Below are 14954 nucleotides of genomic sequence, written 5' to 3' on the forward strand. Positions count from 1 at the left end.
CTGTTTGATTCCATTTCCCCTATTCCAAAAGTTTTCCAACTTAACCAATTTGACATGCACAAATAAAAATGCTATTTTATTAGTATAAATTAAATATATTAAATATATTAAGTTCAAAATGATTACATTTATCCTTATTACTTTATTCTGCATTGCTTTTTAAAGTTATAATAGAAAGATACATTTATAATAATAAATCAAGTGGAAAATCTAAAGCATCCCTTTTCCCTTGTCCTTTCACAGCCCCTTGAAGACACCAGTGTTGACAGTTTGATAACGAGAAAGTGAGAGAAGGAAAGAAAGGCAGAGAGGGAAAGGACAAACAGACCAACTGATAAAACAGGTTAATAATCATGTATATTTCAAAAGAGCTAGAAGATCTAAAATGTTCCCAACCCAAAGGAAAAATAAATAATTAGGTGATGAGTATCCTAAATACTAAATTATTTGATTACATATTACATGCATGTATCAAAATATCACATGTACCCCCATAAATATGGTATAATTATGTATCAATAAAATTTTTTCTTAAAACTTTAAAAATAGGTTAATAATCACAATAACTGATGTAAATGCCCTCAACTCAAATCTCAAAAATATGTGACATTTCCATTGTACTAAGAGATACAGACAAAGTAAATAAGGTTAAAATTGCAGGCTGGGGCAAATATTTTATCAAGCAGACAGAAGGAAAACAATGGTTAACAATACTAATTTTGGATAAAACAGGTTTTGGAGAAAAAAACCTTAAATGGAATTCAAAAGATAAAAAATAAACATAAAATACTATAATTATTAATAAAGACAAGATGTTAAACTTGTACATCAAAATGCAGCAAGCCAAGATTATTAAAACTGAAAGAAAAATCAGAAAAACTGTAACAGCAGTAGGACATTATACTTTAGTACTACCAACTTATAATAGGACTGGAAGACAGGTTCAAGACATGAATGCACAATGTTACTAATGAATGGCCTTAGCGCATGCTGAGCTCCATATTCCACAAACAGGAAGTATTCTTTTTATCTTCTGAAAGGCTTTTCTTACAAACATTAGAATACACTTTGAAGGACTGTAACATTTGCACACTATGGTCTCTGACCAGAATGCAATAAAACCAGGCAAATTTTATATCAAATATTTTGAAACTAAAAACAACACTCTTATAAATAAGTCAAAGATAAAATGACCAAACTGCACATCAACATAACTATTACATATAACTAAAATAGTCATCAAAGAGAAATTCATAAGCTGAGGTCATTTTTGGTTCTTTTTTTTTAACATACTATAAATAAAGAATAAAGCATTTAACTTGATGACCAAGCTTACCTTTTGAAGTTCAAAAGCCCTGGGTTCAAATCCTGGCCTGACCATTTGTTATTTGACCTTAAACAAGTTCATTAATCATTCCAAGCCTCAGTTTCATCTGTAAAATGGGGATGCCTACTTCACATAATCTCATGAGGATGTAAGTCCTTAGCACTTTTCTTGACACATAAGAACCATTGCCAGGTTATTATATAAATTAAAACTTTACACAAGAAAAACTTATCTAAAAAAAGAAATAATTTGAATAAAAATAGAAAAAAATACAGTTAAAAAGGGAACATTAATCTAAAAGCTGAGTTTCCTTTTAAAATGACCCATTAAAAGGTTAAAACTTTGGTAGTAATAAAACCAGAAACAAGAATAGAATTTCCCATTTGAAATAATGATAACAGAATATTAAGAATAGCATAAAATTATGTGAGAGAGATATGCTCATTTGCTTCAGTAAACATTTAAAATCTGTATGTATTCCATAACATCATGTTGTAAACGTCAAATATACATAATAAAATTTATTTTTTTAAAAAAGAATAATAGTATGATAGAAGTGAATGATACACAACTGAACATTTAAAGTAGATGGACAGAGATGAATGACTTTCTATAAAAAAATAAAATACAAAGAAACAAAAAAAAATCTAAGATAAGTAAATGAGTTAAAAACTACTGACGATACTAAGCCTGGACTAATGCAAAAGTTCCCTGTTTGCTCTCCAGGTCTCCACTCTTGGCCCCTACTCCAAGTCTTTCTCCAGCCAACAGCTAGAGTGATGGAGGCACTACCATCAATACCCTTTCAAATCAGTGCCCCTGGAATACCTCTTTCCTCCTATCAGGCTTCGTCTCATGCACTGGGGACATCACTGTGGCCTTCTCCAATTTCCTGAAGGCATCACACTCTGTCCCAGCTCAGAACACCTGCACAGGGTCTATCTTCAATGGTCTCCCCCACCTCTTGGCCTGGCTACTTCCTGCACACCACAGAGGCCTCCCCTTATACCCCACACTTAGTCTAAATTATATCCCAAATATATTCTTTCATAAGAATATATTTCCTTTTCCATCTTGGCATGTATCACAAATTTCAACTATGTACTATTTGCCTGACTGTTTTATACTGATTTCCCCAACTAGGTGTTGTCATCATTCATCACCATATCCCCAAGACCTGGCATATAGAAGGCACTCAGTAAATATTTGCTAAATAACAAAACTGATAAGGCTAAGAAGTATACAGAAATCAACTCACGAAGGGCCTCTTAGACCTTGCTATCCTAATAGTAAGAGAAGGCCACAGAAGGGTTTTAAATAGAAGAGTGACATAATCAAATGCACGTCTATCTCAGCAAAGAAGGATTAACTGCAGACATGCCAAATATATGACAAGAATGCCCATTCCCTCCTGTAAAGAGATATAAACATAAAAGACATTCCTAAAGATTCTCTTTCTGCACTGAACCCAAATCAGACCTTGGAATCCCTCTCAGGGCAGACCTCCAGGAAGTCACTGCCAATTACTGTGGCCCAAGGAATAAAACCTGACCATAGCTCAAAGACTGGATGACCTATTATAAATATACTGGAAGACTAATGAAATATTCTACAAATCAAGGGGGAAATGTTCCATGTAGAACAGTTTCGTTAAAAAATGAAAATACTGGCCAGGCACAGTGGCTCATGCCTGTAATCCCAGCACTTTGGGAGGCCGAGGCAGGTGGATTGCTTGAGCTCAGGAGTTTGAGACCAGCCTGAGCAACAAAGCGAAACCCTGTCTCCACAAAAAATTTAAACATTAGCCAGGCATGGTGGTCTGCACCTGTAGTCCCAGCTACTTGGGAGGGTGAGGTAGGAGGGCCTAAGCCCAGAAGATCGAGGCTGCTGTGAGCTGTGATTGTGCCACTGCACTCCAGCCTGGGTGATAGAGTGAGACCCTATCTCAAAAAACAAAAAAAGAAAGAAAATGAAAATCTGATGTGACAGTTATCCAACTTTTTGTAAGAGTACTTTGCAGAATCCTGAAACAGGAGCTATAAAATTATTTTGCTTAAATTTTTTTTTATTTTGCTTACTTTTAGTTAAGGTTATAATCATTGTCAACAATTAACTAAAGAATATTTTTGCCCCATTACCACATGCCTTTCATATTGGAATCAATGGCATGGATTTCAGATCATGCCTCCATACATTCCAGGATAATTATCTCAATTATATTATCTGACACTGATGCCAAGTAGACAGTTGGTGCTAAATGCAGCTGTGCTAAGGATACAAGAGCTACTTTTAAATCATAAAAGCTGGTTCTAGACTTACTCTCCATTTTGAAAGGCCATAATTAAGATCACAAACCTAGAACTCAATAATGGGAACAGAAAACTCACTTGATAATGTATATTCATTTATTCATCATTTAATTCCCCCAGCTGTCCCAACATGCTTACCTTTTTACGTACTCCTTCTTGGGTGCTAGAGAGTTTGAGCAAAACAGGAGGAAGGAATTTAGATATAATATTCTGTAATTGTTCATCTGTTTCAGCATGGCCAAGTCGTAAAAAGACCCGTTCAAGCTGATCTATAATATAAAAAGAAAAAAAGAGAGAACTTAGCAAGCCAAACACAACCAAGACCAATTATTTTTATAGCTTATTCTTTTTTTCTGTACTGCAATCCTTCAGTCAGGACTTTAACCACAGCTAGCCCTATACAGATATTTTGACACAGCAACAAACCACCACCAAAAGGTTAACTGTTCTACCCTGGTCTACCCTTTAGAATGGAAGAAAACAAAACCAAGAACAAAAAGTTCTCTCCCACATGCAACGTTATTCAGTTTTAACTGGATACTGGAAAGGATACAAGATTTCTAAAGGCATCTTCTGGAACTAGTTAGTAGAGCAAGGCAGCAAAACTTTAATCAGATACCATCAGTTATTAGGGACAATATATCTATCCCTGGTGAAATCATCTTACTGATGAAGTTTCTCCAAAGACAGGATCACTGCCCATTACTGTATTAGGGTTACCTAGTTAGAAAAATAGCCAAGTTTCCCCAAGAAAGCCACTATGAGAGACATATGTTAAGTGACACCATGGGGATACTCTCAGCAAAACCCAGACTGTGATAAACTTTAGACAAGGTAACTTCTTCAACCAGTACACTGCAGCGGCAAGCAGGAAGATGGGAATGAAAGGGGAGCCTATGCAAACAACTAGATATTTGATTTTAAGGAATTACTGTTAAAATTGTTTTAGGTACTATAATGGTATTGTGGTTAGGTTTGTTTTTTAAAGGTCCCTACAAAAACTGTCATGGGAATTAGGGAGTTTTCTAAAGAGCTAAAAATGTTCTATATTTCGATCTGCGTGATTATAGAGATAAATACATTTATAAAAATTCATCAAACTCTACACTTTCATACCTTCTACTGTATCTACTATACTTCAATTTAAAATATATATTTAAAGGAATCTTTTTTTAGAGATAAAGATGGAAATATTTGCAGGCGAAATAACAGCTAGTAGAATTTTCTTTAAATAATGAGGAGACACTGGGGAGGGGTTATGTAAGTAAAACCAAAATTGCCACTAATTGATAATTATTCAAGCTTCATAACAGATACTGAGAATTACTATTGTGTTTGCCAGAAATTTTCCACAATAATTTTCTACAGGAAGATAGATTAGATAGACATAGATCACTCAATAGATGGATCAATGACAGAGACGTAGATAGATACATGGATAGACAGACAGACAGATCAACAGATTGATCGATCAATCCTGAGAGGGGCAGAAGCAATGACATCCTAGTAGCAACAAGCATACCTAACACCCAGAATTGATCTTGTTTTTCAATACCATTCTCCAGGAAAAGGAACCAAGCTCCTTGGAAAAAGGTCTGAGTTTAGGGATTGGGGCAGGTCAAAAACAAGATGAGCCTGAAGCGTCTTGTAGTGCCTAAAAGGAAATGGAACATGGGGTCGAGCACAGTGGCTTATGCCTATAATCCCAACACTTTGAGAGACCAAGGAGGGAGGATTGCTTGAGGCCAGGAGTTCAAGACCAGCCTGATCAACACAGAGACACCCCCATCTCTACAAAAAAAAGGAAAAAATTAGCCAGGCATGGTGGCGAGTGCCTATGGTCCCAGCTACTCCAGAGGCTGAGGTAGGAGAACTGCTTGGGCCTGGGAGGTTGAGGCTACAGTGAGCCATGATGATGCCACTGCACTCCAGCATGGGTGACACAGTAAGACCCTGTCTCAAAAATAAAGAAATGGAACATGGAACAAGTCAAAGGGATACAGGAACCAACCTGAAAGAACGTCATTGCCCAAGCAATGACGATAGAAGGAACAAAATAAATAACAGCATTGGATTATAAGCCAAAATGTCAATCTACATGAGTCCATACTGATGGAAATAATTATTGAATGATGAAAGAAACTGGGGGGGAAGAGGCAAATTTTTCTTATAGGAAGAATTCAAAATAATATATGTGGCTATTTCCCCCTACAGGAGGTGGAGCTTAATTCCTGCCCACCCTCCCCCTTGAGGGTAGACTAGATTTAGTGACTACTTCTTTAGAATACAAAAAGGGAGAAATGTTAACTTCACAGTAGAGAAAACTGTCAAATACTATCTTAGTCCAGTAAGAAGGTAAACCTCATGATGTCGTGCAGATATCACGTGTCCCTGAAATGATGTGACAAGAAAGGCATTTTACCCCTCTGGTATTCATAACAAAAACCCATAACCCAAATCTAATCATGAGTACAACAACAGAAAAACCCAAACTGGGGGACATTCTATAAGACACCTGGCCAGTACTGCTCAGGACGTTCAAGATCATGAAAAATAAGAAAAGACTAAAAAACTGTCTCAGACCAGAGAAAGCTGGAAAACATCACAACTAAATGGTCCCTTGCACAGGATCCTGGGGGGGAAAAAAGGACATTAATGAAAAAACTGGTAAAATCCAAATAAAGTCTCAAGTTTAGTTTAAAAAATTAATAATAAAAAGAAAAAAGGGAGGGAGGAAAGAAAGGCTCAATCTGAGACTACCAGTGATTCTATTTGATAAATGCTGAATGCTGCTGTAAAAGAAGTTCTCAGGAATGCTGAGTTCAACCCACAGTGTTTGCAGAAGTTACAGGTAAAGGAGCAGCTCCTTAGGGCCTTACAGCTTTTAGGCCATAGAAACTACAAATCTGAGCTACAGAAACTGTAAAAGAAGTGTTCTGTGGACAAAGGCAGAAAATTAAACTCTTCATAATAAACTGACCTAGAGAATCTCTGTCAAAGTTAAAGAAAACGGTGGGGGGAGATGGGGGGGTGGGGTGCGGCGGCAGGAGGGTGTGGAATATCCAGTCCCTGTTCCTTTTCATGCAATCATTTGGATGCTTCTATGTATGCCCAGCATAGCACCTAACATCTTCTCTCCCTCACGAGACAGGCAAATATAACATCCTAAACACAATAAAATTATGAGAACATGGGAATGGGAAGAAAGAGCACCAACCACCATGTGAGAGGGTCCTGCTAAAACAGGCTGGCTACACCAGAGGAAAAGGTAAAGCCTTCTACCTTTGAGGTGAATCAATCTAACACTGTTACGTCATCTTTACAGACCCATCTATACTTAAATAAAAGATAAGCTTGTTCAAGTTTCACAAAAAAGAAGAAAGGTCAACATCTACAGATATAACTGCTATATTTTTCTTTTCCTTTTTTTTTTTTTTTAAATAAGACAGGGTCTTGCTGACACCCAGGCTAGAGTGCAGTGGCGCTATCCACAGCTCACTGCAGCCTCAACCTCCTGGGCTATTCTCCTACTTCAGCCTCCCAAGTAGCTTGGACTACAGGCATACGCCACCACACCCAGCTGATTTTTTTATTTTTTGTAGAGACAGAGGTCTCTGGTCTTGAATTCCTGGTCTTGAATTCCTGGCCTCAAGACAGAGGCTGGTCTTGAATTCCTGGCCTCAAGCGATCCTCATACTTTGGCCTCCCAAAGTGCTGGGATTACAAGTATGAGCCACTGCACCCGGCCTAAGTCTTTTGAGTATAGTTAAACTTACCATTCCTTCCCTATATGACTTCGGAGTTTCTAGGCATGCTTAGAAAAGTCATTTTCACTGCAAAATACTTTTAAATATTATATTGTGCAGAGAAGAGTTTACACAGACCCAGGACTGCTACCTGTAGAAACACTTGCTTTCGGCCTGGCACATGGTTCACGCCTGTAATCCCAGCACTTTGGGAGGCCAAGGAGGGCAGATCATGAGGTCAGGAGATAGAGACTATCCTGGCGAACACGGTGAAACCCCATCTCTACTAAAATTTCAAAAAATTAGCCGGGCGTGGTGGCGGGTGCCTGTAGTCCCAGCTACTCAGGAAGCTGAGGCAGGAGAATGGCATGAACCCAGGGAGCGGAGCTCGCAGTGAGCAGATATCGTGCCACTGCACTCCAGTCTGGGCAATAAAGCGAGACTCTGTCTCAGAAAAAGAAAGAAAGAAAGAAAGATGTGCTTTCTAGCTGAGGCTGGCCCATGGCTGATATCTGGAAACCTGGATTTCAGCAGGGTTCCCACCATTCCCAGAACTGCTAAGAGTGGTTCATTGTGCCTGTCTGTGCAAATAATATTGTTTATGCTGAACATCAGCTTCCCTTCAGGGCGGAATTTTGGTACATTTTAGGAAGAAGGTACCAACATGACCAGCCCCAAATAAAAACCTGAGGCACTGAGTCTCTGATGACCATCTCTGGTGGATACCATTTCAGAGGTGCTGTCACAACTCACTTCTGGAGGAATCAAGTATGTGCTGTGTGACTCCACCAGAAGATTCTTGGAAGCTTGCACCTGGTTTCCTCCAGATTTCACTCACATGACTTTTCCCTTTGGTGACCTTGCTACACTAAATCTTAGCTGGGAGTACAAATATATGCTGAATCCTGTGAGTCCTACTAGACAATCACTGAAGCTAGGGGCGAACTGGGAGTCTCCTGGCAGGTATATTTACCTATGTTTTCTTTCAAGTACACTTATGATTTTGCTTTCTGCATTCAAGTCTTTGATCCATCTGGAATTTTCTTTTGGTATATGGAGGGATGTAGGAAACAAGTCTTTGGTGGGTTTTTAAAATCTTCTTAACTATGTAATAATACATACAGAAAATCATTCAAAACATAAATGCATGGTTTAATGAATTATTATAAACAATCTTGTGACTACCCCCCAAGTCAAGAAGAAAATTAATTTTGAAGCCTGCATAAAGAAAGATTTGTACTGGACTGAAAACAGAACTGAAGAAGACTGAAAGATTATATAACGTAAAAAAGCACAGTGAGTTTTAAGGACTTGCCCAAGGTCACAGATTAATTAGCAGCAGAGTAAGAATAAGAATGGAGTCTTCTGACCTTTAGTCTAAAAATCCTTGCCTATACCATACAACTGTCTCCAAGAATGACCCTATTTTCTATCAGGTACACATACTGTACATACTACACCTTATACAGGAAGTTTTATTTGAAAGAATATCCAAACGTTCACTAGAATGTGTCTCATTCAGGCAGTATTTATTACAAAAATGGAAAAACATACAAATTCAAAGGTCAGAAAACAACACTAGAGGGAACTCACTACTATGAATAAGAAGCTAACTCCATATGTGACCAGCTGCAGTTCAACCTTTCTCCTCCTCCTTCCTGCTCATCAAAATTCTCTCCTCCTTCAAGGCCCAGCACCCTCCCAGTTTCACAGTCAAGCACTCATTCTCCTATCTAGGTCACTCATTCAAGTATCTACTGAAACTCTACCATGCGTAAGAGCTTGGTGGTCATGGGTAAAAAGAGTGGAGAGGGAAGAGGCATGGATGTTGTCCAGGCTTACCTCACAAGTATATGATAACTGCATGTAGAAAGAAAATAACAGAAGGCCTAGGACAGACTGTTTGCGAACAACAGCATTTAAATGCAGGAGAAGGAAAGTCTGAAAAAGGGAATGGTAGGCAACAGACAAAAATAAAAAGAAAACGTGGGGTCAGAATAATTAAGAAAGATTTTCCTAGGAGACAGCAGTCAACCATTTCAAATGATGCAAAAAGATCATGCAAGATAAGAATTGAAAAGAATCCAGTTAATTCAGCAATAGAGTTCACACCTGACCTTGGCTCAAGCAGTTTCAATGAAGTGGTAGAGAAAAAAGCAGACTGTACAGGGTAGAGGAATCAGTGGAAGATTAAAAAGGATGTGAGGAATACAGTAAATGACAACTCTTTAGAAACTTTTAGTTATGAAAGGGGAGGGGAACAGTTATTTTTCATTATTTCAATCAAATAAGAGCTCTGAGCACATTTAAATAGCAAAAGGAAAAAGCCACTAGAGAGAAAGAAACTGAAGAGGGAAAAAATTATTAGACTGTGACCCTGAGAATATGGGAGAGATTAGGATTCAGCACAAGGTCTGAGGAATTACCTTAGATAGGACAGGAAGGCCATCTCTGCCATTGTAACAGGAGGGAAACAGGAAGACTGCTGTTGATAAAATCAATCTTATAAATTTTATGGAAGGGCCTGAAAGAATTCCCTTCTGATGGTTTCTATTATTTCTGTAAAATAGAAGGCACAGTCTTCTTCTGAGATTTGGAGAGCAGAGGGCAAGTGGGCAGCGTGACAATGGTAGGAAAAGGCTTGCCCCAGAGTGAAGAAGAGAAGAAAATTGACTGGTAAAATGAACTACAAATGTGAAGAAAGTGTAAAGGACCCAATTGAGGTTAGTGAATATAAATTTACAGCAGCATTAATCCACACAGTCAAACAAATAAAAAATAAATCTCCTATCCTTTCTTCCCCCTACCCCTATAGCATTTATATCAGTGTCTAATCACTGAAAAAATACAAACATATACAGACAACGTTTTCCAAACCTTCAGTTATAAATGTGATTTAGGAAAATATCCTTTATTTCACATCAACCAACTAAGGAGAATTTCTGCTAAAAGAAGTATCTAGATTTTGTGTGCATATACATACACACATGAGAAACACACATTAAAAAAGTATAAAATTCCTCCTTTGCATATATTATGGGGACAATTCTAAATGGGCTATTATTTATAAACTATACATTATTAATATAGACTTGTGAAAGCCCAACTAATGATTCTCTCCGAGAGTCTAAGATATAAAGGAGCCAACGGACCTATATTTTCATGTCAGATACATTACTGGTTTTAGTTAGTAAACTAAACCTCTCTAAGGTTATTAATGAACTTGTCTATTAGGAACAGCATAAGATTGCTTCATAAGAATGTTGTGAAACATTATATAATGTTATATACGGCTATCATATTACAGATGTAGCTTTTATATTCTTGTGTAATAAAGAATTTAGGTGACCTCTGTCCATGTTCCTGAGAGGAAAGCACTAAACCCTTGGGATTTCCCCAGTAACTGAAGTGCCTTTGTTATTCATGGTGGGACCCTCTAATCACATTTGATAACTTACACTGAGGAAGTAACTCATAGTGGGCCCCAGATTGTTTACGCTAAGAGATAACTCAGGATGGGGGTTGATCACACTAGAAAGACTAATCATCTTGCAGGTTTTCAGCCAGGTGATTAGGGGAGGTGGACAAGGGGAAGGGTTGGAGAGGGAGAGGAGGGTGGGGGGGGTGTTAGAAATTGAGTCACATGGGCAATGATCCAATCAATCAATCACACCTGGTCAATAAAACCCTGGACACCAAAGTTCAGGTGAGCCGGTGAGCTTCTATGATCAGCAGTGCATTGTGTGTATTATCACACATTGCTATACTGGGAAAGTACCCTGACACAACACAAGCTTTGCATCTGGAACCCTCTCAGGCCTTGCCCTACATGTCTCTCCCTTTGGCTGGTTTTAACTTGCATCCTTTTCTATAAAACCATAACCATAAATACACGGCTTTCCTGAGTTCTGACTCGTTCTAGCTAATGATTAAACCTGAGGGGGTCCATGGAGACCCCCAAATCTGTATCCAATAGGTCAAAAGTGAGGGTGGCTCTGGGATAACAGGAACTTGTAGGTGGCATATGAAGTCGATTCAGTCTAGTGGAGGGCTATGCCCTTAACTGGTTAGGTTTGGCAGAGTAATTATATATGATATAAAATATTTTCCATATGTTATATAAATATTGTATATAATTATCTCTCAGAATACATTATTCCTTTAATTTTACCTTTTTCTTTTTTTTTCCCCTTAAGCTCAGTGGCAAGAAGAAATTATTATCTTTTTCTTTTTTGTATTTTTTGTAGAAATGAGGTCTATGTTGCCCAGGCTGCTTGTGAACTCCTGGCCTCAAGCGATCCTCCTGCCTCAAACTCCCAAAGTGCTGGAATTACAGGTATGAGCCATCATATTTGGCTAATTTTACCTCCTTTTTAAATAAAGCTGACTACTACTACAAAAATAAGTATTTTAATAAATCAGAAGTCTACGAAATATTTGAGAACACACATTCCATCAGCTGGGAGCAAAATATGAATTATTAGTAGAATCCCACCTAGAGTAGGAATCCTATGCTAGGTATGTTAATAACCCCATTTACTACCACCAAAGGAAAACTGAGCCAGGCCAGAAAGCTAAAAATCCCATGTGACAATACCTCAGAGACACAAGAGCTCATCATACGGAGGCATAACTTAGTACAAAGTCATAATTACATGATTTTAAGGGGCTTTTTTAATTACTTCTAAAGACAGACCACAATGATACAACTCACAATTATAAATTCTGCTTTAAAAAACTGGTTCATTCTAAATTACCACAAATATGAACTGTATTATTTAAAAACCTCCCCACACAAAAAAATGGCAGGACCTTATGAATTCGCTGGTAAATTCTCCTTCATAACTTCTTCCAGAGAAGAGAAAAAGGTGGGGTAAAGGGATGGCAGGGGAACACATCCCTGAATGTTAAGAGGCCAGAATAACCTTGATACCAAACAAGGGTATCCCCAGAAAGATAAAAGCAAATAAAAGATATTTCTCATGAATATAGACGCAAATGAGATAATAAAATAATATTTAAATCATAATACATAAAATAAGTAAAAAATATGAGTCAAATCCAGCGATACATAAAAAGGATAATACATCATACAAAAATTGGATTTATTCCAAAGATGCAAAGTTGGTTTAATATTGAAAATCAGTGTAATCTGCCACATTAACACAATAGAGAATAACAATCATATGATCATCTCAATATATACAGAAAAGGCATTTGATCAAATTCAACATCTCTTCATGCTAAATAGATGGGAACAAACTATTCATGTTGAAGAGACAAGGAAGAAAAGAGAACTTCCTTAATCTGATAAGAGATTTTTATAAAAACTTACAGCAAACATTATATCTAAAGGTAAAATACCAAACACTTTTCCTCTGAGTTCAGGAACAAGGTAAAGATGTTCACTATTACCAATTCTATTCAAATTTGTACTGCAAATTTTATTCAGAGCAATAAGACAAAGAAAAATAAAATGCATTAAGATTACAAAGGAAGAAATAATATTTTCATTATTTAAAGATAATGATTGGTACACAAAAAATCCAAAACAATCTATGGAAAAATTAATAGAATAACAAAATACACAAATCAATTGGTTTCCTATATAATAGTAATAAACCATTAGAAAACAAAATTTGAAAACACCTATTACAATGACATCAAAACACATCGAATAGCTGGGAATTAATCTAGGGAAAAATGTGTAAGACCTCTACACAGAAAACTAAAATACACCGCTACAAGAAATTAAGGAAAACTTAAAAGATACACCATATTCACAGATTAGAAAATATTAATAAGATGTCAATTCTCCCCAAATTGACCTATAGACAATATAATCCAAGCACAATCCATCAGATAACTTGGGTAACACTAAAAAGCTGATCCTAGAGCCAGGCACAGTGGCTCGAGCCTATAGTGGTTCCAGGCCAGCCTGGGCAACACAGGAAGATACTAACTATCTCAATCAATGAATGAGTGGATGAATAATCTTTAAATGTGTGGATACCACTAGAAGAAAAAAAAAAGTTGATTCTTTCTATAATTTAAAGAAATGCAAAGGACCAAGATTTGCCAAAACTATCTTGAAGAGGAAAAACAGCTAGAAGACTTTGGTCAAATTTCAAGGCTAACTACAGTAGGCTGGGCACAGTGGCTCAGCCCTGTAATCCCAGCACTGTGGGAGGGCAAGGCAGGCTGATTGCTTGAGCTCAGGAGTTTGAGACCAGCCTGGGCAACATGGTGAAACCCCATCTCTACCAAAAAAAAAAAAAAAAATTTAGCTGGGCGTGGTGGCGTGCACCTGTAGTCCCTGCTACTTGAGAGGCTTAGGTGGGAGAACTGCTTGAGCCCAGGAGGTAGAGGTTGCAGTGAGCCAAGATCATGCCACTGCACTCCAGCCTGAGCAAAAGAGCAAGACCTTGTCTCAAAAAAATAAACACATAAAATAAAAACTACAGTAATTAAAAGTATACTATGCTAACAAAAAATAAGTAGACCACTTGAACAAAATAGAAAATGTGTAAAAGACAAACAGGTATATAGTCACCTGGTTTAAACAGAGGTGTCACTGCAATGTAGTGAGTAAATGATGGTCTTTTCAATAAATGGTGTTAAATCAACTGTATTCCAATATGGGAGAACAATATTTAATCCCTACCTCACACCATATCTATTAGTCCGTTTTCATGATGCTGATAAAGACATATCCAAGACTAGAGAATTCACAAAGGAAAGAGGTTTAATGGAGAACTACAGTTCCATGTGGATAGGGAAGCCTTTCAATCATGGCAGAAGGCAAGGAGGAGCAAGTCACATCTTAACATGGATGGCAGCAGGCAAAGGGACAGCTTGTACAGGCAAACTCCCGTTTCTGAAACCATCAGATCTCCTAAGACCCACTCGCTATCACGAGAACAGCATGGGAAAGACTCACTCCCATGATTCAATCATCTCCCACTGCATCCCTCCCACAGCACATGGGAATTATGGGAGCTACAAGATGAGATTTGGACGGGGACACAGAGCCAAACCATATCATCAAACAAAAAGAAAATCAATTCCAGATGGATCATAAATCTAAATGTCAAAGGTAAAACAATAAAGTTTCTAGAGAAATAAAGAATATTCTCATTACCTCGAGATAGGAAAAGATATCTTAAAACAAGAAGCTAGATGGTAAGGGAGTCTGAAAAATATGATTAGCAGAATCTGTCCCAAAGAGTAGTTTATAACTGTGGAGCTGGAAATAACCGTCACTGAAAGAAACTTTCATAATCTGACAAAAAGCATCTATGTAAAATCTACAGCAAATATATCTCATACAAAATCAGAAACAAGATGTGCACTATCATCACTTCCAAGCAAATTGAACTGGAACTGCTAGAAAATGCAATATGGAAGTAGGAGATACTAAAAACTGTCAGTATTCACAGATTACATGATATTTATGGGATAGGGTATGTAAAATAAGAAAGTTAATTATGTTGCATACAAGATCAGAGTACAGAAGTCAACTGAGATAAATGAGAACAAAGTATCAATGTAGTTTTTAAAAACATATAATTA

General features: G+C 37.4%; 1 protein-coding gene across 10 annotated transcripts in view; it reads right to left on the minus strand.

Annotated features, from left to right (window-relative positions):
• ECPAS (Ecm29 proteasome adaptor and scaffold) overlaps positions 1-14954 on the minus strand; it is a 123699-nt gene that overhangs the window by 86966 nt on the left and 21779 nt on the right. For all 10 annotated transcript variants that reach the window (NM_001363756.2, NM_001364929.1, XM_047423107.1 and 7 more), the window contains one exon: positions 3775-3905. In NM_001363756.2, coding sequence (NP_001350685.1) covers positions 3775-3905 — 131 coding nt within the window. The remainder of the gene's footprint in view (positions 1-3774; positions 3906-14954) is intronic.

The sequence above is a fragment of the Homo sapiens genome, chromosome 9 (genome assembly GCF_000001405.40).
Source record: "Homo sapiens chromosome 9, GRCh38.p14 Primary Assembly".
Classification (NCBI taxonomy): domain Eukaryota; kingdom Metazoa; phylum Chordata; class Mammalia; order Primates; family Hominidae; genus Homo; species Homo sapiens.